This window comes from Homo sapiens, chromosome 15 (genome assembly GCF_000001405.40).
Source record: "Homo sapiens chromosome 15, GRCh38.p14 Primary Assembly".
NCBI classification, from domain to species: Eukaryota; Metazoa; Chordata; class Mammalia; order Primates; family Hominidae; genus Homo; species Homo sapiens.
This window is the reverse complement of record NC_000015.10, coordinates 28,597,410-28,625,339: the sequence shown is the minus strand read 5'-3', so window position 1 is coordinate 28,625,339 and position 27,930 is coordinate 28,597,410. Positions and strand designations below refer to the sequence as shown.

Sequence of the window (27,930 nt, the reverse complement as noted above, 5' to 3'; positions counted from 1 at the left end):
ACTCAAAACAATCTCTTCTGGAAACTAGAAAAGGAAAAACTTCCCAATTCATATTAAGAAGCTAATATTAGAGCTAATATTAGCATTTTAAGAAGCTAATATTAGAGCTAATATTAGCATTTTAAGAAGCTAATATTAGAGCTAATATTAGCATTTTAAGAAGCTAATATTAGAGCTAATATTAGCATTTTAAGAAGCTAATATTAGGTACCGTACCTAAAGACAGTACAAACTACAGAACAATATACCTTAATATATATATAGACACAAAAATATTCAGTGAATTATTAGCAAGTAGAAGTAAACAATATATAAAAAGAATTCCACATCATCGCCAAGTAGTTTCATTCCAGGAATGCAAAGCTGGTTCAACAGTCAAATATCAATGTAACCCACCCTATTAATAGACTAAAGAACAAAAATCACATAATTACATATCAATTGATTTAGAAAAAGCAAATGACAAAATTCAATACTCGTGAATGATAAAAATTCTCAGAAAATAGCAACAAATGGGAACTTCATCATCTTGATAAACAGCATTTACAACACCTTAAGCTAAAACCTATGCCAACAAGAATGTCAGAAAGGGTCCTCCCAGACCTATTTATACAGCAGAGAGAATCATTAAGAATGATTTAGATAGTTACTAAGAGTTTACTCTCCTAAGAGATTACAACACCCAATGGCCAGCAAGCCCTTTTCATTAGACAAAAAGAAAAGCTGTGATCTGTCAACACTCTCAGAAGGTTCACTGTGAAATGTGCACTTCTGAACTCCTGCTGAGGGCCTACACGCTGCAATGTTGAGAAGCAAGTGTCCAGAGGTCTCCTTGGAAACATTGCAAAAAAAATGTGAGGGACTGATGGATGAATAGAAGGATGAAAAGGTGGAGAGAACGGTGATAAAGCACGTGGGATGATGCCAGCGGCACAATCTTAGGTGGTGAATATGTGGGTGCGCGCTGTAAAATTCTTTCAACTTTTCTGTATATATTTTTTTCATAATAAAATGTTGGAAAAAATAAACCTGTGAAAAAGGAAGCTTTAGTCAAACATATCTAAGCAAAAGAAAAAACAAATTCTAAATTCCTATGGCTCAAATTAACGTGTTTTTCTTTTTAGGCTGAGATGGAAGAGTAAAAAAACAGAAAAAGAAATGAAAGGAATAGGAGCTATTCTAACAGCTACAAATTCCACCTGCAGTTTGATTAAAGATGGCGTGGCTCAAGAATATGCTTTGAATCCAAGCCCCTTCAAGGCTGCCAGGTACAGAGTCGGTTCTGCAAAAGCTCTGTACCTGTGAACAAGCAGAGCTTCCAAATAAACCGATTAAAGCTGCCCTGAGTCAATAAGCCGGGCTTTAATCTGAGCAAGAAAGGTACATTTTTAGTCTAGTTACCCACCCATAACTGTAGGTACTTTGATACCTAGGTGAGGGGAAACATGGAGAAAGGCAAAATAACAGATTTTTAAAATCACAACAAATCTTTATCAAACATTTGTGCCAGGCACTGACTTAAGAGCTTCAAATGCATTATTTCATGTCATTTGCACAGCAACTCTCTGAGTAAGTACTTTCACTTATTTTATATATAATTTTAATTATTTACATTATATTATACTTATTCCTTTTTTTTGTTTGTTTTTTTTGTTTTGAGATGGAGTCTCACCCTGTCACCCAGGCTAGAGTGGTGGTGCAATCTTGGCTCACTGCAAGCTCCGCCTCCTGGGTTCATGCCATTCTCCTGCCTGAGCTTCCCGAGTAGCTGGGACTACAGGTGCCCACCACCACGCCCAGCTAATTTTTTTGTATCTTTAGTAGAGACAGGGTTTCACCACGTTAGCCAGGATGGTCTCGATCTCCTGACCTCATGATCCGCCCGTCTCAGCCTCCCAAAGTGCTGGGATTACAGGCATGAGCCTCTGCACCCGGCCACTTATTCCTATTTTATACATGAGAGGCCCAAGGTGAGACAAAGTGATTTGTGTAGAGTCAGAGATAAAGCCAAAATTGATACCCAGACAGACTGAAAAACTTCTCTGTCAGAAAATCTAGAAATGGTAAAGGGAGATCTTCAAACTGAAGGAACATGATAACACAAGGTAGCTGGGACAGAAACAAAACCTTAAGGGCCCATAATGGTAAAATGAAAGTTAACATAAAAAACTTTTTTTTGGCCAGCCATGGTGGCTCTTTGGGAGGCCGAGGTGGGTGGATCACCTGAGGTCAGGAGTTCGAAACCAGCCTGACCAACATGACGAAACCATGTCTCTACTCAAAAATACAAAATTAGCCAGGTGTGGTGGCGTATGCCTGTAATCCCAGCTACTCGGGAGGCTGAGCCAGAATCGTTTGAACCCAGGAGGCAGAGGCTGCAGTGAGCCAAGATCATGCCATTGCACTCCATCCTGGCAGCCTGGGCAACAAGACCAAAACTCCGCCTCAAAAAAAAAAAAAAAAAGAGGCCAGGTGTGGTGGCTCACACCTATAATCCTATAATCCCAGCACTTAAGGGTGGCTGAGGCACGTGGATCACCTAAGGTCAGGAGTTCGAGGCGAGCCTGGCAAACATAGTGAAACCCTGTCTCTACTAAAAATACAAAAACGTTAGCCAGGCACGGTGGTGTGTGTCTGTAATCCCAGCTACTAGGGAGGCTGAGGCAGGAGACTCGCTTGAACCTGGGTGGCGGAGGTTGCAGTGAGCTGAGATTGTGCCATTACACTCCAGTCTGGGCAACAACAGCAAAACTCCGTCTCAAAAAAAAAAAGACTTTTTTTTCTCTTTTCAAATTTGAGGGGAAAAAATGTAATTGCCTATTTAAAGCAAAAACAAAAACATCATATTGTGGGGTTTATACCATGTTTCACTTGGACATGACACAGCAACACTACCAACCAAGAACATGTCAGAAGCAGGAAGCTACAGTCAGAGCACTGCCCCGCAGCTCAGGCAGTGTAATACCATTTGAGAGTGGGCAGTGACAAGTGAAAGATGTAACTGAAAACGCCAGAGATGATAGATTTAAACCCAAGTAGTCTAAAGATTCCAAATAAAAAACAGAGGTTGTCAGGGTGAATAAAGAAGCAAGACCTAATTAAATGATACCTGAAAGAAATCTACTTTACACATACACAAAGTTTGAAAGTGAAAAAAGCTAAACCTGGCAAACACACCACGCAAACACCAAATCAGAAGAAAGGAGAGTAGTCAGACCAAGGTGACTTCACAACAAAGAATGTCACCGGAGATTAAGGGGGTCAAATTTATGAATATGGCGTAAAAATCCTAAAAGTGCATGCACCCTATAACATTCTCAAATACATGAAGCAAAACCTGCAGAGCTGAAAGAAAATAATCCATAATTAGCATGAGAGATTTCAATTCTCCTCAGAAGAAAGAGGAACTAAGCAGTGAAATTGCTCTTCATGCCTCCCCAGCACAATGGAGATACTCCTGGGAAATAAAGCCAGTCACTGGGGCTGATCTCCCAGAACACTGAGACTGGCTTCTCTGTAAATAAATGACTGGTATTTGCTAGGAGAAGTGTCCTTATCTATGAAATGTTTTTAGCAAGATGTGGTTAGTTTAGGATTGTGTTTGGTAAACATACCTAAAATCCATGGACTTATGGGACATGGCTCCCTGGAAAAGGTTCCCTAAGGTGTATAAACTATCTGACTACAAAACGGGAACACTGCACATCCTTAATGCTCCTTGTGCAGTGAGATGACGACACACCTCAGTGAGAGGACCACACGCCTCAGTGAGAGGTCTCATCTCGCAGGCCGGGCTCAAAGAGGATGGACCTGCGGGGGTTGCACAGACTCTCCCACATCTCTCCCCACTTTGCCTGAGCACACAAGTGAGGATATTACTTGTATCTTTAAAGTTACTAAGTAATCAGCTACGGGTAACATCTCTGAGATTCATGTCAAACTAATGTGGTAAGCCAACCTTGTGTGTTAGTTCAACTCCTCTCCTAACAGTGACTAGAACAAGCAGGCAGAAAACTATTTCAAGTCAAGGATACCTGAACACTATCAACTTGATCTCACTAAGCTTTACAGAGCAGCAAAATACACTTTTTTTTTTTTTTGAGATGTAGTCTTGCTTTGTCACCCAGACTAAAGTGCAGGGGTGCAATCGAGATTACAGGCACCCACCACCACACCCAGCTAATTTTTGTATGTTTCGTAGAGACAGGGTTTCACTATGTTGGCCAGGCTGGTCTCGAACTCCTGACCTCAAGTAATCCACCCACCTCAGCCTCCCAAAGTGTTGAGATTACAGGCAGGAGCCACTGCACCCAGCCACATTCTTATTACATGTGCATGAAACATTCCACAGAATGCACCATATTCTGGGGCTTCAGACAAGCCTCAGCATTGAAATCACAGAATATGTTCTCTGACTACAACTAATTTAGAAATTGTTAACAGGAGATATTTGAAAATCCCCAAATATTTGGAAATGAAATAACACATTTCCAAATAATAAGTGAGTAAAAGAAGAAATTAAAAGGGAAATTAGAAAATATTTTCAACTGAATGAAGATGAAAATGAATAAACATTTCCAAATTTGTGAAATGTGGCTAAACAATGCTTAGAGGGAAATTTATATTATAGTTTTGAACACTTGTTAGAAAAGACAAAAAATCTGAAGTCAATGATCTAAGCCTTTACCTTAAGAAACTAGAAGAGACAGAAGAACAAATGGAACCCAAAGCCAGCAGAAAAAAGGAAATAATAAAGAGTAAAGCAGAAATCAATGAAAAAGAAAACAAACAAAATCAATAAAACCAACAACTGGTTCTTTGAAAAAACTCAAACTGATGACTTCTAGGAAGACTGATCAAAATCGAAAGAGAGAAAATACAAGGCACATTTCAGCAAATTTCTGGATAACAGGTAGTATATGCTGGTACTTACTACATGCAAAATAATAGCATACGCACTTTGTCTGGCCTACTGTACTGATCCCATAATAACCTATGAGGTAGGTACTACTACTAACCCCAAATACGAATTTTTTTTTAAGAGACAGGGTCTCACCCTGTCACCCAGGCTGGAGTGTAGAGGCACAATCATAGATCACTGCAGCTTCAAACTGATGGCCTCAAGCAATTCTCTCACCTCAGCGTCCCAAAGTGCTGGGATTACAGGCGTGAGCTACCATGCATGGTGTCACTAATTATTTTTATATATGTACATTTACATATGTATGTCCATGCCAGGAAAGAAAAGCCTGAATATCCACTCTGAAGGGATAATAGTGGCTAACTCTTAGAGGAAAACTGAAATTGGGGTGGGCAGCCAGGTGAAATTTCTGCTTTTATAATCGATACATTTTTATAAGAAAACATTTATTTGATGTATATTTTTAATTGGAACGAAAATGCATCAGACATTTTAAAAAATTCAATTACACACAAAAAAGTAAGCAAAGAATAAATATATGGGTTTTACTGGGTTGGAGAAAGGGAAGAGATTATGAAAGTCCATCCATGATAAGGAACTCCTATAACCCAAAACAAAAAACTCAATTAAAAAATGGAATTAGCTGGGTGTGGTGGTGCCCGCCTGTAGTCCCAGCTACTCGGGAGGCTGAGGCAGGAGAATGGCGTGAACCCGGAAGGTGGAGGTTGCAGTAAGCCAAGATCATGCCACTGTACTCCAGCCTGGGTGACAGAACAAGACTCTGTCTCCAAAAAAAAAAAAAAAAAAAAGAAAGGGCAAAAGGGCCAGGCACAGTGGCTCATACCTGTAATACAGCACTTTAGGAGGCCAAGGTGGGTGGATCACCTGAAGTCAGGAGTTCAAGACCAGCCTGGCTAACATAGTGAAACTTCGTCTCTACTAAAAATACAAAAAATTAGCCAGGCACGGTGGCGGACACCTGTAATCCCAGCTACTCGGGAGGATGAGGCAGGAGAATCACTTGAACCTGGGAGGTGGAGGTTGCAATGAGCCAAGATTGCACCACTGCACTCCAGCCTGGGCAACAAGAGCCAAACTCCATCTCCCCAAAAAAAAAAAAAAACAAAAAACGGGCAAAGGATTTGAATAGACATTTCTCCAGTGAATGTATACAAATGGCCAATAAGCATGTAAAAAGATGCTCAGCATGACTAATCAACAGGGAAATACAAATCAAAACAATGAGATGCTGTACCTACTCACACAAATTAGGATGGCTATCATCAGAAAACAAAAAGTGTTGGTGAGGGTGTGGAGAAATTGGAACCTTAGTATACTGCTGCAAGAATGTAAAACAATGTAGCCACTGTGGAAAACAGTTTACTGCTTCCTCAAAAAGTTACACATAGTGCCAGGTGCGATGGCTCACATCTGAAATCTCAGCAACTCAGGAGTCTGAGGCAGGAAGATCCCGTGAAGCCAGGAGTATAAGACCGGCCTGGGCAACACAGTGAGATTCTGTCTCTAATTAGTCAAGCGTGATGGCTGGGCAACAATGTCAATATATTTAATGCCAATGAACTGTACACATAAAACTGGTTAAAACGGTAAGTTACATGGTATGTATATTTTACCACAATATTTAAATTTTTTAATTAGTTTTTAAAAAATTGTTACCAAAAAAATACTAAGAATCCATTCAAGTTATTTAGAAAGGGAGTGTCAGATCAACCTTTCCAAAGTGCCAAAATTCGCAAGATCACCTGGTTGCTTGCCCCATACCCAGCTGTCCAGAATTGACTTGGCCCTATATATAGGTGCAGGAGTTTCTTCTTCATCTTTTTTCTCTTTGTCATTCAGATCTTTCTTTGTCCCACTTGGTTCGACACTATCATCTGCAGAATTAAAAATTTTTTAATCTGTCACCGCTTTTCAGAATGTCATACCGTTAGCCTCTGCAAATGTCCCTCCCCGAAAAGTTACAACACACATGATTAACTGAATGCTTGACAACTTAAAAATAAAATACATCAATCATACCTGTAACAGATCCAGTATAATTTTCATAAAGAAACCAATATATTGGCCGGGCGTGGTGGCTCATGCCTGTAATCCCAGCACTTTGGGAAGCCATGGCGGGTGGATCAGGAGGTCAGGATATCGACACCATCCTGGCTAACACGGTGAAACCTCGTCTCTACTAAAAATACAAAAAATTAGCTGAGCATGATGGCAGGCGCCTGTATTCCCAGCTACTCGGGAGGCTGAGGCAGGAGAATGGTGTGAACCTGGGAGGCAGAGCTTGCAGTGTGCTGAGATCATGCCACTGCACTCCAGCCTGGGTGACAGAGCGAGACTCCATCTCAAAAAAAAAAAAAAAGAAACCAATACAACAAATTATTTAAAGGATGTCTTCCAAAATGATATTCCATCTACTTCCTAGTACATTTCTTAACTGAGAAACTTAAGTCTTTCATATTTACCTACTTCAATTTCACACCAATTGCTTTTATCCAGTGAGTCCCAGTGCTTGTGTATCCATGGGAAAAGGGAGGGTGTAGAACAAGAGTATGATTCAAAAATCTTTTAACTCTTTACAAGGCCCTACTCCACTGCCAACTGGGAAGCACTGCTATGCAGGGGCACTGTCACTGCTGGCATAATTCAAGAGCACTGGGACACAAAGGAAAAGCTGAGAAAAATCACTTTAGGCCACTGACAATGTCAAGTTTCAGTCAAAAACAACTGTCATAAAACTCCTTACACAGTAAGCGAAGAGAAGAGAGAACTAACCTTAACCTTGAAGTGTAAACACATTCCATCACAGAAGGCTGTGACTAAATGTCTAACAACATAATTAGAAAAATGTATCTCAATCGGGGAAAGACATGATATCCCATCCAGATTACAAATAATGACTATCTAAAAATCTCGAAGGAAACAGTTCCTCTGTTTACAACACTTCTGACACCAAATGTATGGACTTTTGCACCAAGCAATTCTCCAGTTCTCTGCGACACCCAGCTTTGTGTCCCACAGTGCAATTCAATTCTGAAACTAACTACCTAGAATTAGCACAGACCCCACAGGTTAATAACAAGAGAGAAAAGGTGAATGCTGAAAAAAATATCCAAAGAACTAATGGCTGAAAACTTCCTAGGTTCAGCAAATGACATAAACCCAGGCAGACTGAAGAATCTGCACAAAGCCCACACAAGATAAATCCAAAGGAAGCCATGACGAGGCACATCATAATCAACTGCTAAACACTAAGGACAAAACCTTTTGAAAAGTGCCACGGAAAGTAGATACAGAAGAATTTCTCGTGTGGCCTGAAATTAAGACTAAATATTACGTGCTGCCTTGACATTGGTAAAATCAAGAAGGCCTCAAATAGCCTAACCACAAGGTCTCCCCTGAGCTCTGCTCTCACGGATAAGATCCCAAAGCCAAACAACCTCCTTATCGCGGAAACCCGACCCCAGCCTGCTCATCCCTGCCGGCCCAGAGTTATTCAAACAAGCCAGTCACATCTTCCCATGGAAGCAAGGTCATCTCACCCTCCTGTTACTACAAAATGTGCCTCCCACAGCCCCTCGTGGTTCGCTCTGTTCCCAAGTGCAGCCCCCGTGTGGCATGCGGTGTCCCCCACCCCAGGGCTGTGAGCATGCGTGACTAATAAACTGCTATTTCATCTGTCCAGTGTCGGTGTCCTACGTTCAGCCATCCCATATCCCTAGGGCAGGAATCTTCTAGGGTTATAAACAGAACTTTAATCAACCTCTCCTTGGTTATTTTACTGGTTCCATGATACAGCTTTTTCTGTGCAAAAGATCTGAACAGAAACTCACAGAGGATACAAGAGTGGCAAAAAAGAACATGATATTCAGCATTGTTAGCCATTACAGAATTGCAAATTAAAACCACAATGAGATCCCACTAGACTTGTTAGAATGGCTCAACTAAAAATCACTGATAACACCAAGTGCTAACAAAGACACAGAGCAACAGAAACGTGACAGATTGTCAGCGGGAATGCAAACTAAAACAGCCTCCAGTTTACCAAGGTAGACACCTCGAGTCACAGAATACAGAGTAGAACCCAGCCAGGAACACGGCTCAGGTGAGAACACAGGTGCTGGCTCTGAATGCCAGACTCTGCCGTGTGTGTGTGTGTGTGTGTGTGTGTGTGTGTGTGGTCACTAACCACAGCCCACAGGACAAACCCAGCCCACAGCCTTTTTGTGTATGGTCTGAACACAGAGAAAGTATTTTAGTTTTGTTGTTCTTTTGAGATGGAGTCTTGGCTCACCACAACCTCTGCCTCCCAGGCTCAAGCGATTCTCCCAGGTTCAAGTGATTCTCATGCCTCAACCTCCGAGGAGCTGGGATTACAGGGGTGCATCACCATGCCCGGCTAATTTTTTGTTTTCAGTAGAGATGGGGTTTCACCATGTTGGCCAGGCTGGTCTCGAACTCCTGACCTCAGGTGATCCGCCTGCCTCGGCCTCCAAAAGTGCTGGGATTACAGGTGTGAGCCACCACGCCCAGCCACCGTATTTTATAGTTTTTAATAATTGAAAAATAATCAAAAGAAAAACAGTATTTTGTGACTTGCAAACATTCTGTGGACTTCATCTTTTCGTGTCCATAAATAAAGTTTACAGAATGAACGTCCCCAGCCCGCTGACGTAGTATTGTCTGTGGCTACTCTGGCACTACAGCTGCAAGGTCCCATGGCTATGACAGAGACCATAGGGTCCATTGAGAGCTTAAAATATTTACTATCTGGCCCTTTACAGAAAGTAGGCCACCCCTACCCTACATCTGGCTATAAATTTTACAAATTTGACAAATTCTGAGACCCTGTCTCAGAAAATAAAATAAAATATTCATAGTCTTAATAATGGAAAACAAAAACATTTACTGAATGCCAAAACATCTCCCTAACAATCCCAATCAGTTGGGATCTACATAAAGAACAATTATGCTCTGCTTTCCAACCATGATTTTTAAAAGAACAAAAGACAAAAAAATTCATCAAATGTGGGCTGGGCATGGTGGCTCACACCTGTAAACCCAGCACTTTGGGAGGCCGAGGTGGGCAGATTATGAGGTCAGGAGTTCAAGACCAGCCTGACCAAGATGGTGAAACTCCGTCTTTACTAAAAATTCAACAATTAGCTGGGCATGGTGGAGGGCGCCTGTAATCCTAGCTGAGTACTCAGGAGGCTGAGGCAGAGAACTGCTTGAACCCGAGAGGAAGGGGTTGCAGTGAGCCAAAATCATGCCGCTGCACCCCAGCCTGAGCGACAGAACAAGACTCCCTCTCGAGAGGAAAAAACAAAAAAAATTCATCAAATGTAATGAATAAAACATATACTTTGGATTTTGCCATGTACTTAGCTTTTCTTAGAGCACCTTTTAGAACTATTGTTTCACAGAAAACACTTTGGGAAACGTTTTAATTTATAAACAAATACTGGAGGGCTAGGAAGAAGAGGTTAAAACTTTTTAAAATATACAGAATGAATTACTGATACAGAAAAACAAAAAAAGGTTGCTGATTCCTGTCTTGGAAGACACTGTCATATGGACACTCTTAGCCTCAGCATCCAGAGGTCCAGAAAGGGAAAATTTCAAGTCAGAGAGAATTCTATATATACCACTTACTTGGAACATTCAGCCCTCAAAATCCCAACATCATGACCTCAGTTTCAACACAATTGTCCTTAGTCCTTATGTCACTGCTTTTGGTGCTGCCTGCTGTCAAGGCAGTGGAAGCCAGTGATGCAACTGCTCTCTCGTTAAAAGGTGTGGTTCTCAGTATTACAGGTGTTTGTACTTGCTTGCAGGTATACGCACGAAAGATAAAAATGAACAGATGTGACTTTGAAGGGCCTAATGAATGAAACCTCACCCTGAAAACCTTTGTGCTACTGAAACTAAATGTAAGCTTTGGTGTCTGAAAGTTTCCAAGAATTAGTAAGTAGGAGAGTTTTACTTTCTGAGTTGATTCCATGAAATGGGAACAAATTGGTACATAAATGGATTTTGCCCAGAATCCTAGGAAATCGCCACTGTTCAGTCGTAATCACTGCCTCCTAAATCACTGAGTCTGTTCTCTGTATTTTTATTAGACTTTTGTCATCTCCCCAATTCAGATATCCAATAGTCAGCCAAAAAGGGAAACTTTTATCTCTGGAAAGAAAAAAAATCATTTAGAAAAATGTGTTCAGTGTATCTAATACTGAAATGGAGAAAAGACTTAATGTTAAAGAAAAAAAAACACTATAGACATTGACATGGAAAAGAGATTTAATGTTAATAAAAACTTTATATTAACTGAGTAACACCTCCTGATGAGAAGTGCTATATTAAATATAAACCCATTACGTTGTTTAAAAAAAAAAAACATGAAAATCAAAAGCACTAAACAGAGTGAAAGAAGCCAAGACACAGAAGAACCCGACTACATGATTCCATGTATGGAGTTCTAGAACAGGCGCAATTTGTCAATGCTGGAGAAACATCAGGCCAGCTATTGCCTCTGGGAAGAAGGGGCAGGACACCAGAGAACTTTCTGAGCAAGAGTCATGATAAAGATGTGGGTTACACGGGTTACATTTGTCAAAACTTGTGAAATGGTAAACTCAAAATAGATACATTTCATTATATATAAATTTTACCTGAAAGTCAAAAACAAAGTTGAACTAGAATCAATTACATACATGAGTGTCTAAGGAGCTAGGTGAGACAAACGGTGGATGGACAGACAGCAGGATGTGGAGCCAAATACGGTGGCAGGACATGGAGGTGGGTCTGCAGCCACTCACTGTACACGTCTGTCAGTTATTGTGTGTGTGTGTGTGTGTGTGTGTGTGTGAATATTTTCAAAAAAATATAAAAAATAAATTAAAATAAAAACACAGGTAACTCTGCTTGACACTGAAACTGAAGAGGGAGACTAATACTTTTTCCCATGGTTTGTTTTGTGTTTTTTGTTTTTTTTTTTTGAGATGGAGTCTCACTCTGTCACCCAGGCTGGAGTGCAGTAGCACAATATCTGCTCACTGCAACCTCCACCTCCCGGCTCCAAGCAATTCTCCTGCCGTGCCCTCCCAAGTAGCTGGGATTACAGGCGCCCGCCACTATGCCTGGCTAATTTTTGTATTTTTTAGTAGAGACGGGGTTTCACCATGTTGGCCAGGCTGGTCTCAAACTCCCAACCTCAAATGATCTGCCCGCCTCAGCCTCCCAAAGTGCTGGAATTACAGGCACGATCCACCGCGCCCGGTCCCCAAGTATTTTCAAGTGGACACCATCCCAATTCATTCCACAAAAGAAGAATAAATACTTGCCAGGCACGGTGGCTCACGCCTATAATCCCAGCACTTTGGGAGGCTGAGGCGGGCGGATCACGAGGTCAGGAGATTGAGACCATCCTGGCTAACACGGTGAAACCCTGTCTCTACTAAAAAATACAAAAAATTAGCTGGGCGTGGTGGTGGACACCTGTAGTCCCAGCTACTTGGGAGGCTGAGGCAGGAGAATGGCATGAACCCAGGAGGTGGAGCTTGCAGTGAGCTGAGATCGCGCCACTGCACTCCAGCCTCAGCGACAGAGCAAGACTCCTTCCCAAAAAAAAAAAAAAGAAGAAGAAATACTTTCTTCAGACTAATGCTCTCCCAACTGAGCTATTTCAACTTAGAATAAATACTTTCTAAAGTGGTAGCTTTATCCACGTTGATGACTCTCAAGCAGGGGGACCAACGAACTTCAACAGTGGTTCTCAACCAAGGATCTTTTCAGATTCAACAAGTTTAGGGTGTATACAAGCATCCATTTTTTTAAACCTCAATGGGGACTCTGAAACACAGCCACTGTTATGAACAACCTAATGATAGTCCTATTGAGCATGCAAAACTACAACGCTAAATAAGATTGTTCAATGGCATTTCCTTGCAGGCCAAAGGCTTCCAATAAGTGTTTAATACACCCCCAAAGAACACCACAAATGCGGCAAGACGGTTTTGCAATAAAAATGCCTTCAATTCACGTAAAACAATAAAATCCGGGCAGCTTGTATTAACTACCATTTTAGACAACAATCTCCAAAGTAAAAAGCAAAACTTCAAAGAGTTAAGCTCAAAGCTCCTGTTCCTATAGCACATTACAAAATTTCTATAAAATGCATTTTATAATGGTCTTTACCAAATAAAAAACACTAGTTAAAGGCCCTTACCTTTTCCAGGAGGGAGCTATCCGTTCTGGGTTGATTCTGTTCCAGTGTATACAATTTCTCCATCTTTAACCATTTCATTCCACAGACCACAGAGCCCATCTCTTGTGAATGCAAGCTGGCAATGATAAATGAGATAAGCTCACACTCACACTGCAATTTTTAAAGAATGATATGGGAAAAAATCTCAATCGCCCTTATGTATTCGATCATTCGGTAATAAAATCAATGATTTACTGAATTAGTGACTTAATCATTTTACATTTCATGAAAGTCATCCAAGAAATATAAATGAAAAGGTGCATAATAGTATAAATACTATTCTACCTCTTATGTAACATACAAGAAAAATGACACATGGTCGGGCGAGGTGGCTCATGCTTGTCATCCCAGCACTTTGGGAGGCCGAGCGGGGCACATCACGGGGGATCAGGAATTTGAGACCAGCCTGGCCAACACGGTGAAACGCCGTCCCAACTAAAAATACAAAAAATTAGCCAGGCGTGGTGGCGGGCGCCTATAATCCCAGCTACTCACGAAGCCGAGGCAAGAGAATTGCTTGAACCCAGGAGGCAGAGGTTGCAGTGAGCCAAGATCGCGCCACAGCACTCAGCCTGAGTTGATAAGAGCGAGACTCGGTGTTAAAAAAAAAAAAAAAGAAAAAAAAAAAAAAGACACACACACAAACACACACACGTGCATATGCTCTGAAAAGATAAACCGAAAGCAAGTACCAATGACTACCTACGGGGAAATGGGGAGGGGACATGGACAAAGGCAGCAGGACCAGAAAAAGCAACAACATTGTGAGTATACTTTAGATGTCTTTACTTCTGAAACATACATGACTTTCATCCTCAAAAATTAAAATTAAATCATAAAAAAGCAAAACCTACAACTGGCAACAAGCAAATTAACCCATGCATATACAAAGAAAAGTATGTCAAGGGACTTTTGAACTACATATCATTAATAGAATATACTATAATGAAAAATAAAATATTTATCGGTATTGATAACACTCTCACAATTTTAGAACTACTTCATGTTGCACAATAAAGCAGTGTAAATACAATAAAACATGTTTATGATAAAGTATTAAATGTTCTTAGAAATTAAGGTTTTAGGCCGGCCATGGTGGCTCACACCCGTAATCCCAGCATTTGGCAGGCCAAGGCAGGTAAATCACTTGAGGTCAGGAGTTCATGACCAGCCTGGCCAACATGGTGAAACCCCATCTCTACTAAAAATATGAAAAATTAGCCGGGTGTGCTGGTGCATGCCTGTAATCCCAGTCACTCGGGAGGCTGAAGCAGAAGACTAGCATGAACCCAGGAGGCAGAGGTTTCAGTGAGCCGAGATTATGTCACTGTGCTCCAGCCTGGGTAAACAGAACGAGACTCCATCTCAAAAAAAAAAAAAAAAAAATTAAGGTTTTCAGTGGAAAAGAGGAAAAAAAATCAAAGAAATTTTGAAAAACAACTTAAATTGGAAATCTATGAACTTTATTTTTGAATATATTTGCTTACTCTGTTTTTTAAAGGACTAGAATCAAAGGCAATCTGACAGCGGCACCCAGATTTTGGTCTCTCAGAACCATTTCCCGATAAAAGACGCTAGGGCTCTTGGGAAAATAAGTAGATTCAAGGGCCAGGGCAGACAAAGATGAGCCTGTTTCCTCAAAGAAAAAGCTGTTTCCTCAAACATGGCCAGGTGCGGTGGCTCACGCCTATAATCCTAGCATTTTGGGAGGCTGAGGCGGGCAGATCACTTGAGGTCAGGAGTTCGAGACCAGCCTACCCAACATGCCGAAACCCCATCTCTTCTAAAAATACAAAAATTAGCTGGGCATGGTGGCAGGCGCCCATAATCCCAGCTACTTGGGAGGCTGAGGCAGGAGAATAGCCTGAACCCAGGAGGCGGAGGTTACAGTGGGCCAAGACTGTGCCACTGCACTCCAGCCTGGGTGACAGAGCAAGACTTTATCTCAAAAAAAAAAAAAAAAAAAAAAAAAAAGCAGCTGTTCAAAGACGATAGGGACTCCTGGCCAAATTTATAATAATTATAATAACTGTGAGCATCAAAATCAAAAACGCCTTTGCTTGTCAACATTTGTGAGTCAGAAAAGGCTTCCCAGAACAGGAAAAGGGAGCATTTCAGACACTGGGGGAAGGCATCCATTCTGAAAACTGCGTATGTGACAGAAGCTCCCTTGTCTGGCAAAACAAAAGCCATTTTTAATTAAAAGAGACAGATGTTTGCCCATCTTTTTTTTTTTTTTAACTTCTGTGGATACACACTAGTTGTATGTATATATATATGGGTTATATATTCTATCTAACTTTTTTTTTTTTTTGGAGACGGATCTCGTTCTGGCACTAAGCTGGAGTGCAGTTGTGCGATCTCAGCTCACTGCAACCTTTGCCTTCTGGGTTCAAGGGTTTCTCCTGCCTCAGCCTCCCGAGTAGCTGGGACTACAGGCTCACACCACCACACCCAGCTAATTTTTGTATTTTTGGTAGAGATGGGGTTTCACCGTGTTGGCCAGGATGGTCTGGGTCTCTTGACCTCATGATCCACCTACCTTGGCCTCCCAAAGAGCTGGGATTACAGGCGTAAGCCACTGTGCCCAGCCCTATCTAACTCCATTTTTATACCCATTAACCATCCGCACTTCACCCCCACTTTATCCTTCCCAGTCTCTGATAACCATCATTCTACTCTATCTCCATGAGTTCAATTACTTTCATTTGCTTAGCACCTACAAATAAGTGAGAACATGCAAAGTTCGATTTTCTGGGTCTGGCTCATGACATTCTGTTCCTGACTTAACATAACGACCTCCAGTTCTATCCATGTTGTTGCAAACGGCAGTATCCCATTCTTTTTCATGGTTGAATAGTACTCCGTTGAGTATATATACCACATTTTCTTCATCCATTCATCTGCTGGGAACACTTAGGTTGCTTCCAAATCTTGGCTATTGAGAATAGTGCTGCAATAAACATGAGAGTGTACATATTTCTTCAACATACTGATATTCTTTCCTCTGGGTATATACCTACCAGTGGGATTGCTGAATCATATGATAGTCCTATTTTTAGTTTTTTGAGGAACCTCCAAGCTAATCTCCATAATGGCTGTGCTAATTTACATTCCCACCAACAGTGCACAAGGGTTCCCTTTTCTCTATATTCTTGCCAGCATTTGTTCTTGTCTTTTGGATATAAGCCATTTTAATTAGGGTGAGATAATATCTCATTATAGTTTTGATTTGCATGTCTCTGATGACCAACCATGTTGAGCACCTGTTCGTATTGCCTGTTTGTCATTTGTATATCTTCTTTTGAGAAATGTCTATTCAAATCTTTTGCCCATTCTTATTGGATTATTAGATTTTTTTCCTATAGAGTTGCTTAAGCTAATTATATATTCTGGTTATTAATCCTTTGTCAGATGGGTAGTTTGCAAATATTTTCTCCCATTCTGTGGGTTGTCTCTTCATTTTGTTGATTGTTTCCTTTGCTGTGCAGCTTTTTAACTCAATGTGATCCCACTTGTCCATTTTAGCTTTGGTTGCCTGTGTTTACGAAGTATTACTCAAGAAATCATTACCCAGTGCAATGTCCTGGAGAGTCTCCCCAATGTTTTCTTTTAGCACTTTCATAGTCTGAAGTCTTAGGTTTAAGTCTTTACTCCATTTTGATGTGATTTTCGTATATGGTGAGAGATAGTGGTCTAGTTTCATTTTTCTGCATATGGGTGCCCCATTTTCCCAGCACCATTTATCAATGAGGCTATCCTTTCCCTCATGTATCCTCCGGGCACCTCTGTCAAAGGTGAGTTCACTGTAGATGTATAGATCTGTTTCTGGGTTCTCTATTCTGTTCCATTGGTCTAGGTGTCTGTTTTTATACCAGTACCATGCTGTTTTGGTATACCTTTCTAGTAAACTTTGCACTTGATCTAAGCCAAAAAAGACCAGGAAGTGACTGTAGTATAATTTTAAGTCAGATAATGCAATTTCTCCAGTTTTGTTTTTTGCTCAGGATGGCTTTGGCTATTCTGTCTCTTGTGATTCCATACAAATTTCAGGATTTTTTTTTCTATTTCTGTGAAGAATGTCATTGGTATTTTGATAGGGATTACATTGAACCTGTAGATTGCTTTGGGTAGTACAGACATTTTAATATTGATTCTTCCAATCCATGAACACAGAGTAACTTTTCCTTTTCTGTGTGTCTTCTTCAATTTTCTGCATCAATGTTTTACAGTTTTCGTGGTAGAGATCTTTTCACTTCTTGGGTTAGGTTTATTCCTACGTATTTTACTTTATTTGTAGCTATTATAAATGGAATTATTTTTCTTGATTTATTTTTCATATTGTTCACTGTTGACATATAGAAATGCTACTGATTTGGCTGGGCAAAGTGGCTCATACCTGTAATCCCAGCACTTTGGGAGGCCGAGGCAGGTGGATCACCTGAGGTCAGGAGTTCAAGACCAGCCTGGCCAATGTGGTGAAACCCTGTCTCTACTAAAAATACAAAAATTAGCCAGGCCTGGTGGCAGGCGCCTGTAATCCCAGCTACTCAGGCGGCTAACACAGGCGGATCGTTTGAACCCAGGAGGCAGAGGTTGCAGTGAGCCGAGATTGCGCCATTGCTTTCCAGCCTAGGCCACAGAGTGAGACTCCATCTCAAAAAAAAAAAAAAAAAAAAGAGAGAGAGAGAAATGCTACTGATTTTTGTATGTTAATTTAGTATCCTGCAATTTTACTGAATTTATCAGTTCTAATCATTTTTTGGTGGAGTTTTTAGGTTTTTCCAAATATAACAATCATCTGCAAACAAGAGTAACTTGGCATCTTCATTTCCAATTTAGATGCCCTTTATTTCTTCTTCTTTTTTTTTTTTTCTGAGATGGAGTCTTGCTCCATAGCCCAGGCTGGAATATAGCGGCACAATCTCAGCTCACTGCAATCTCCACCTCTGGGGTTCAAGTGATTTCCCTGCCTCAGCCTCCCGAGTAGCTGGGACAACAGACACCCGCCACCACGCCTAGCTAATTTTTATATTTTTAGTAGAGATAGGGTATCACCATGTTGGCCAGGCTTCAAACTCCTGACCTCAAGTGATCCACTCACCTCAGCCTCCCAAAGTGCTGGGATTATAGGTGTGAGCCACTGCACCCGGCCTTTCTCTCTCTTATCTGACTCCTCTAGCAAGGGCTTCCATTATTATATTGAATAACAGTGGTGACAGTGGGCATCCGTGTCTTGTTCCAGATCTTAGAGGAAAGGCTTTCAGTTTTTCACCTTTCAGTATGATACTAGCTGTGTGTCAGTTGTATATGGCTTTTATTGCGTTGAGGTGTGTTCCTTCTATAACCAGTTTTTTGGGGTTTTTATCATGAAAGGATGTTGAATTTTATCAAATGCCTTTTCAGCATGAATTTAAATGATCATATGGTTTTTTATCCTTCATTCTATTGATATGATGTATCAAACTGATTGATTTGGATATGGTGAACCATCCTGGCATCCCTGGGATAAACCCCACTTTGGTCATGATGAACGATGTTTCTAATGTGTTGTTGAATTCGGTTTGCTGGTATTTTGTTGGGTATTTCTGCATCAATGTTCATCTGGGATACTGGCCTGTTTTGTTTTTTTGATTATGTCTTTGTCTGGTTTTGGTATCAGGGTAATATTGGCCTTCTACAGTAAGTTTGGAAGTATTCCCTCCTCCTCTATTTTTCAGAATAGTTTCACTAGGATTGGTAATAGTTCTTCTTTAAATATTTGGTAAAATTCAGCAGTGAAGTCACTGGGTCCTGGGGTTTTTCTTTGCTGGAAGACTTTTTATTATTACAGTTTCAATCTCATTACCTGTTATTGGTATGTTCAGGTTCTGGATTTCTTCATGGTTCAAACTTGGAAGGCTGTATGTGCCTGTGAAATTATCCATTTCTTTTTCCTTCTTTTTTTGAAGACACAGTCTCACTCTTTCACCCAGGGTGGAGTGCAGTAACATGATCTCAGCACACTGCAACCTCCCCCTCCCAGGGCTCAAGTGACTCTCGTGCCTCAGCCTTCCAAGTGGCTGGAATTACAGGCACGCAAAACCACACCTGGTTAATTTTTGTATTTTTAGTAGAGATGGAGTTTCACCATGTTGGCCAGACTGGTCTCAAACTCCTGACCTCAAGCGATCCACCCGCCTCAGCCTCCCAAGGTGCTGGGATTACAGGTATGAGCCACCACGCCCAGCCTGCAAACTTATCTATTTCTTCCATGTTTCCCAATTTATTGACATATAGCTGTTCATAGTCTCTAATGATCCTTTGAATTTCTGCAATATCAGTTGTAATGCCTACTTTTTCACCTCTGATTTGGGTCTTCTTTTTCTCTTAGCCTGCCTGAAAGCTTGTCAATTTATCTTTTAGAAAAACCAACTTTTCATTTCATTGATCTTTTGTATTATTTTCTTCATTTCAACTCCATTTTATTTCTGCTCTAATTTTTATTATTTCTGTCCTTAAAATTATGGGTTTGGTTAGCTCCTTCATTTCTAGTTCTTTAAGATGTATCATTAGGTTATTTATTTGAAGTTTTTCTACTTTTTTGATTTTCCTCTTAGTATTGCTTTCACTATATCCCACAGGTTTCGTATGCTGTGCTGCCATTGCCATTTGCTTCAAGAAATTGTTTAATTTCATTCTTAATTTCTTCACTGACCTGTTGGTCATTCAGGAGCATATTGTTTAATTCCCATGTGTTGGTGGAGTTTCCAAAATTCCTCGTTATTGATTTTTAGTTATAGTCCATTGTGATCAGAGAAGATACTTAACATAATTTTTTTAACTTTTATATGGCAAAAGAGGAATCTAGCTTCATTCTTCTGCATATGAATATCAAGTTTTCCCAACACCATTTATTGAAGAGATTGTCTTTTCCCCAGTGTTTGTTCTTGGTACCTTTGTCGAAAATGAGTTCACCGTAGATGTGCGGATTTGTTTCTGGATTCTCTATTCTGTTCCGTTGGTCTGTGTCTGTTTTATGCTAGTACTATGCTGTTTTGGTTACTATAGCTCTGTAGTATAATTTGAAGTCAGGTAATCTGATTCCTCCAGTTTGTTTCTTTTCAATTATGAGAGCTTCGGCTATTCTGGGTCTTTTGTGGTTCAACATGAATTTTAGGATTTTTTTTTTTTCTGTTTCTGTGAAAAATGTCATTGGTATTTTGCTAGGGATTGCACTCAATCGGTAGATTGCTTTGGGTAGTATGGACATTTTAACAATATTGATTCTTCCGATCCATGAAGATGAAATATTTTTCCATCTTTTGTGTCCTCTTTAATGTCTTTCATCAGGGTTTTAGAGTTTTCATTACAGAGATCTTTGTAATTATCTTCTTTGGTTACTTCCCAGGTACTTAATTTCATGTGTGGCTACTATAAATGGGATTAGTTTTCTAATTTTTTTCATATTGTTTACTGTTGGCACACAGAAATGCTACTGATTTTTGTATGTTGATTTCGTATACTGCAACTGTACTGAATTTATCAGCTCTAATCATTTTCTTGTGGAGTCTTTAGGTTTTTCCACATATAAGATCATATCATCTGCAAACAAGGATAATTTGACTTCTTCCTTTCCAATGTGGAGGCCTTTTATTTCTTTCTCTTGTCTGATTGCTCTAGCAAGAACTTCCAGTACTATGTTGAATAACGGTGGCCACACTGAGCATCCTTGTCATGTTCCAGATCTTAGAGGAAAGACTTTCAGTTTTTCACCATTCAGTATGATACTAGCTGTGGGTCTGTCATATACGGCTTTTATTATGTTGAGGTATGTTTCTTCCATAATCAGTTTTAAGAGATTTTATCATGAAAGGATGTTGAATTTTATCAAATGCCTTTTCAGCATCGACTGAAATAATCACATGGTTTTTATCCTTCTGTTGACATGATGTGTCACATCGATTGATTTGCATATGTTGAACCATCCTTGTACCCCAGGGATAAACCCCACTTCATCACAATGAACGATCTTTCTAACGTATTGCTGAATTTGGTTTGCTAGTATTTTGTTGAGGATATTTGCATCAATATTCATCAGAGACATTGGCCTGTAGTATTCTTTCTTTGACGTGTCTTTGTCTGCTTTTAGTATCAAGGTTTCAATTTTTAATGACTTATTTTGTGGCCTAACATATGGTCTAACCTTGAGGACGATCCATGTGCTAAAGAGAACAATGTAAATTCTGCAGCCATCAGATGAAATGTTCTAGAAATATCTATTAAATCCATTTGGTCTACAGTGCAGATTAAGTTTGATGTTTCTTCGTTAATTTTGTCTGGATGATCTGATCTGTCCAATGCTGAAGTGGAGTGTTGAAGCCTCCATCTATTAATGTATTAACGCCTTTCTCTCTCTTTAGCTGTAATATTTGTTTTATGTATCTGGGTGCTCTAGTGTTGAGTGCATATATACATATATTTATAATAGTTATAGCCTCTTGCTGAATTGGCCCCTTTATCATTACATAATGACTTTTTTGGTCTCCTTTTATAGTTTTGGTCTTGAAATCTATTTGGTCTGATATAACCGCTATGCTCTTTTGTGATTTCCATTTGCCTCTCCCTTTTTCCATCCCTCCGCACCGTCCTGAAGAGATGGTCTCCAATCTGAAGAAGCAAGCAGCCAATGAACTGCCTGTGGGGAGGGGCAGCCTCCAAGAGCCCAGGGTTTCAGTCCCACAACCACAATGGATTCAATTCTACCAATGAGGACCTGAGCTCCAGATGACAGCGTGCCCTAGCCAACACCTTGACTACAGCCTGTGACACCTGAAGTAGAGGATAGAACTAAGCTATGGCCAGACTCCTGACCCACAGAAACTGTGAGAGTGTAAATGCTTGTTGTTACAAGCTGCCAAATTTGTGTTTGGTAACTTGTTCTGTAGCGACAGAAACCAAGCCAGCATCCTTCAGTTTTTGTAGAAGGAACAGCTTTCTCTCAGCACTGTTATTTTTTCTGTTCACATCACTAACAGGATAACTGCCATAAACATACTTGGAACCAAAACATATGACTTTTGGTAAAAATATCAGCTGGTGGGGGAGAGGTAAACTCCTTCCTAAAAAGTGAGCCCTGGCCAGGTAGAGTGACTCACATCTCTAATCCCAGCACCTTGGAAGACTGAGGCAAGAGAATCACTTGTGCCCAGGAGTTCAAAACCAATCTAAGCAACATAGCAAGACCCTGTCTCTACAAAAAAAATTGTAAAATTAGCCAGAAAGCTGGGCATGGTGGCTCACACCTGTAATCCCAGCACTTGGGAGGCCAAGGCAGGTGAATTGTTTGAGCTCAGGAGTACAAGACCAGCCTGAACAACATGGCAAAACCGCATTTCTACCAAAAATACAAAAAATTAGCCAGAGGTGGTGGCGCGCCTGTACTCCCAGCTACTTGGGAGGCTGAGGTGGGAGAACTGCTTGAGACCAGGAGGTAGAGGTTGCAGTGAGTTGAGATCACTCCACTGTACTCCAGCCTGGGCAATAGAGCAAGACCCTGTCAAAAAAAATTTTTAATTTAAATTTAAAAAATTAAAATAATATAAAAAATAAAATTAAAAAGTGAGCCAAAAACATTCAGGGCCCCTGAAGTTTAACGAGTGAATGGAAAGCTTTGACTCTTCTAGTCTTCAGTCAGAGGAGAGCAGTGAATACGTGCACTGGGGTTCAGTCCAAACCCTACCACAATGCACATGATAAGAGGCTAACAGTGGTCAGAACTCACAGCTCCATGTGGGCCGTGCTCCAGGAGTTTCAGACTATCTTTAGGCACTCAAGGGAATACGACATTTGACCCGTGTCTTAAAGTGTTTCAGAAAACAGAAACAGAGAAGGTGAACTAAGAAGCTATTACTGGCCACGCACGGTGGCTGACGCCTGTAATCCCAGCACTTTGGGAGGCCAAAGCGGGTGGATCATGAAGTCAGGAGATAAAGACCATCCTGGCTAACACAGCGAAAACTCATCTCTACTAAAAATACAAAAAATTAGCCAGATGTGGTGGCACGCGCCTATAGTCCCAGCTACTCGGGAGGCTGAGGCAAGGGAATTGCTTGAACCTGGGAGGCGGACGTTGCAGTGAGTGGAGATCGCACCACTGCACACCAGCCTGGGTGACAGAGTGGGACTGCATCTCAAAAAAAAAAAAAAAAAAAAAAGGCTATTACCAAGGGTCCAAAAAAGAAAGGATGACAGCAGAAGTCAACACAGGGAAGTACAGTCTTTAAGATTATTTCAGGCAGGGCACGGTGGCTCACATTTGTAATCCCAGCAGTCTGGGAGGCCGAGGTGGGCAGACTGCTTGAGCCCAGGAGTTCGAGACCAGCCAGAGCAACACGGTGAAACCCGGTCTCTACAAAAAATACAAAAATTAACCAGGCGTGGTGGTACGCACCTGTAGTCCCACTACTCAGGGAGCTGAGGTGGGAGGATCACCTGAGCCCGGGGAGGTTAAGGCTGCAGTGAGCCGTGACGGTGCCACTGCATTCCAGCCTGGGCAACAGAGTGAGACCCTGACTTAAAAAACAAAAAAAGAAACTATTTCAAATCACGTAAGTTAAATCAAATGTGAAAGGGAAAATAAGGGAGGGAACAGAAGAGGAATGAGAATTAGTTCCGTTTTAACCACTAAGATTTGCACTAACTACTGAACATAAACATGGAGCTCCTCCCCACTCCACCAACCCTCAGTAAATATAGATCCAGATCTTAGCAGAGTGTTCAGGGCTAGAGACTCAAATCTGGGAGTAGTCAACAAATGGACTGTAGGTGGTGTCCTGGAGAAGATGCCAACACCCAAGCAGAGAGGGGAGACCCCTGCCCAGCCCTGAAAGCACTCTAAGATCGCCCCAGACTGGCTGGGCTCCACACATCAGTGTTCTGCGGTACAGCCTAGATTGAGAAACATTAGTGTTACAGAGGTACCATTTAAAAAAAAAAAGCCAAAAGATGGAACATTTAAAGACTAAGCCAAGGAGGAAGCCCAGTTTACATGGAAACAAGAATAATTACCACCACCTTTCGATTATTACCTGGGTAGCACTGGGAAGGAAGAGGATAGGCCAGACCTTGTCCTTCTGAGTAACAAGGAATTCTTTTTTGGAAGGTAGACACTGGACTCCTGGAAGGACATGCACTGTGGAAGCCTCCTAGGAACTGATGACCCAAATAAATGGTAAGCACCATTCAAAAAACAATTTGGGCACCTTAAAGGTGGAACATTACTAAGGCAATAAAGCAAGCCTCACTGGAGGAGGTCTCCAGAGAGTTAGACTGTGAACAAGCAAAAGTGAAGCCCAGGAGAAGAGCTCTCCAGATCACAGACAGTACAGGATCCTGACTGAGGAAGCAGCAGCCTGGGAACAACTGGAAGACAGCCGTGGCACTGAGAAGAATGGAGACTACAGGCAGGGCGTGGTGGCCCACGCCGTAATCCCAGAGCTTTGGGAGGCCAAGACAGAAGAACTGCTTGAGGCCAAGAGTTCAAGATCAGTCTGGGCAACATGGTAAGACCGTGTCTCTACAGAAATGTAAAAATTACCCAAGTGCATGGCACGTGCCTGTAATCCCAGCTACTCAGGAGGCTACAGCAGGACGGTCACCTGCACCCAGGAGTTTGAGGTTACAGTAAGCTCTGATCACACCACAGCATTCCAACCTGGGTGACAGAGACCCTATTCATTTAAAAAAAAAAAAAAAGAAAGAAAAAGAAAAAAATGAATGGGACTTTCCATTTGTAAAGTGAGAGTATTTATTTCTACAACTGTCTCCAATTAGCTTTTTATTAGTAGCTGACTTACCTAAACGTGCCCAGTAGCTTTTCAACTTTTGACTTTTTTGGTTCAGATCCCAGAAGCTTCTAATTAGGTTATTTGGGCTAAGAACTCTTTTCCAATCTTTTCCAATCTCACATTCCTATCTTACACCTCTGAAATGACATGGCAAGTAAAGGCACTTTCATCGTCAAAAGACCCCAGCAAAAGAGGCAGTAACAGGCTCACTTTTTGTAAGTTACTAAACTGAAGCTCAGAAGGCCAATGACTTGACCAAAGGCCACACAACACTGAGGCTGTGAGAGGCGGGATTTGGGAAGAGGCCCAACTCCAAGGCTTATTCGCTTCCCACCAACACCATAACATGCACCCACACCTGCAGCACGGCAGCCAGGGCAAGCCTTCACGCTCCCATACATAGGCCACCAATATTTTAATACCAATCAGGACTAGGCAAGCAAACAGTTAAGGCATTTTTTTTTTTTTTTTTTTTTTAAGACAGAGTCTTGCTCTGTCGCCCAGGCTGGAGTGCAGTGGCGCCATCTTGGCTCCCCGGGTTCATGCCATTCTCCTGCCTCAGCCTCCCAAGTAGCTGGGACTACAGGCGCACGCCACCACGCCCGGCTAATTTTTTGTGTATTTTTAGTAGAGACAGGGTTTCACCGTGTTAGCCTGGATGGTCTCGATCTCCTGACCTTGTGATCCACCCGCCTCGGCCTGGGATTACAGGCGGGAGCCACCGCACCCAGCCCGTTAAGGCATTTATTAAAGTGACTTCAGAACTATAGAGTCAGGCAATAAAATCCAAAACTGAATAATATAACAAATGAATATCTGATTAATGTATAGGTTAGAAAATGTTTCTTTTTCATGTCCTTACAATTTGACAGAAAAGTAATCTTCAAATATTTGCAGATGAGTAAAGGTATACGGCTTTTTTTCTTAAACCTACAGAAAAATACTAAACACCTACTGAACGTAGGACAACATATGAAAAAATGTTAAGAACAGGTTCCTAGAACAATTAGAAAGGTCAGACAGGAACATTAAGTACGTCGATTTGAAGACATCCTAGAAGCAGCAAGGGAGTGAGGTCTTCCTAAAGTCTAAGACCCACGAGAGGAAGAAAGAGGCCCAGAGAACCTAAGCACGCAGGGATGAGACTGAGAAGCAAAACGGAGCTTCTGAGAGACTCCCAGGGCCCTCATACAGGAGAAAGAGGCCTGGCAGATCCCATGCTCTGAGCTGGAACCTCAAAGGGCCACACACCAGAAATACAGGTGAGTTAGAAGTAGACCAGCCTTCACGGAAAACCAGCCCAGTTTTGCATTCTCTCAATTTCCAAAGGGACTGCAGTGACCTGGGATTGCCTAGAACATCCTCTCTGGAGGAAGATATTGTTACCTAGAGCCTCGATTTATTGCTACAATATTGCATATACAATATCTGAAAGTCAAGCAAATATAATAATGACAAAGATACAAGACCACATCATTGAAAAATGAAAAAAAAATAGAAGTCATTAGAACAGACCGAGTAGATCCTGAAAACAGAAATATAAAGACTTCTGTCGTGAAAGAAGAGCCTGAGGAATGAACTGAAGTGTTGACACTCTGCTCAGCAGATGTCAGCTCGGGGCAATGGGGTGAGGGAAGTGGGAAAGTGAGACAAGGAGATCAATGAAGTAACGATATGCAGTATATGACTTCACAGTCAGCTAAGTGTGATTTTAGCCTACTCTGCCTATGTAGGAGCCATTCTTATTTCCTTTAATTTCCTAAAAAAAGAAAAATATATATTAAAAAAGAGTGATTTTATATTTTTCAATGGTTGCAACATAATCAAAAGAATCATATGTCAGCCAAGCACGGTGGCTCACACCTGTCATCTCAGACTTTGGGAGGCCAAGGCGGGCGGATCACGAGGTAAGGAGTTCACGACCAGCCTGGCCAACATGATGAAACCCCATCTCTACTAAAAATACAAAAAAAAAAATTAGTGAGGCATGATGGTACACGCCTGTAATCCCAGCTACTCCAGAGTCTGAGGCAGAACAATTGCTTAAACCCAGGAGGTGGAGGTTGCAGTGAGCCAAGATCGCGCCACTGCACTCCAGCCTGGGCAACAGAGCAAGACTCCCTCTCAGAAAAAAAAAAAAAAAAAAAATCATATGTCAACAAATGAAAATTATATGACATTCAAATTCTGGTATCCACAAAGTTTTCCTGGAATATAGCCATACACATGTTTGGCAGCTTCTCGCAGGACAATGGCCAAGGTGAGCTGTTCTAAAAGAGCACGTACGGCCCACATAAACATTTACTATCTGGTGCTTTACAGAAAAAATGTGCTGACCCCTATGTTAGTGCCACCTCTTCTCAATGAGCTGCAAATACAACCAACTGTTCAGCCAGCACATTCACTAGGCATATGTGGCTTTTCCAGAAGGTTTGCAAGAAGAAACTACACCATAAAATAGTCCAAAGAGGAAAGAAAAAAGGGAGGAATAAAAACACTGAGTTCCCTCATCTCTCCTTGTAAAGTGGTGAACGTTCATACCACAAGGAATTCACACCCACACACACTCGCCACACCTTCCAGGCTGTGTCACTGGCTCCTTGGTAGGCAGTCAGGAAGCCATACTCCAACTCTCTTGCGTGACATCACAGCGGAGACTGGAGCCGAAGGGCGGCTCACAGGCATGAGTCAGCCAAGAGGGACAGAGAGAGGCGGCTAAGGAATCTATGGGGTCGGACAAGGTTTATAAACACACTTTTAAAATAACTACCTTTAATAGAGTCAAGCAATTAAAAGATCCTATTAACAGCCGGGCACGGTTCATGCTTGTAATCCCAGCACTTTGGGAGGCCAAGGCAGGCGGATCACGAGGTCACGAGTTCAAGACCAGCCTGGCC

At 41.4% G+C, this 27,930-nt stretch overlaps 1 protein-coding gene across 1 annotated transcript in view; it reads right to left on the bottom strand.

Moving 5' to 3' along the window:
• The window catches only part of LOC124903450 (putative HERC2-like protein 3), a 38,644-nt gene extending 25,363 nt beyond the window's left edge, over positions 1-13,281 (bottom strand). Inside the window, exons 1-3 of the mRNA XM_047433403.1 lie at positions 13,167-13,281; positions 6,962-7,121; positions 6,685-6,816 (exon numbers count right to left, since the gene is read on the bottom strand). Coding sequence (XP_047289359.1) covers positions 6,685-6,816; positions 6,962-7,055 — 226 coding nt within the window. The 5' untranslated portion in view covers positions 7,056-7,121; positions 13,167-13,281. The remainder of the gene's footprint in view (positions 1-6,684; positions 6,817-6,961; positions 7,122-13,166) is intronic.
• Positions 13,282-27,930: the final 14,649 nt, after the last annotated feature.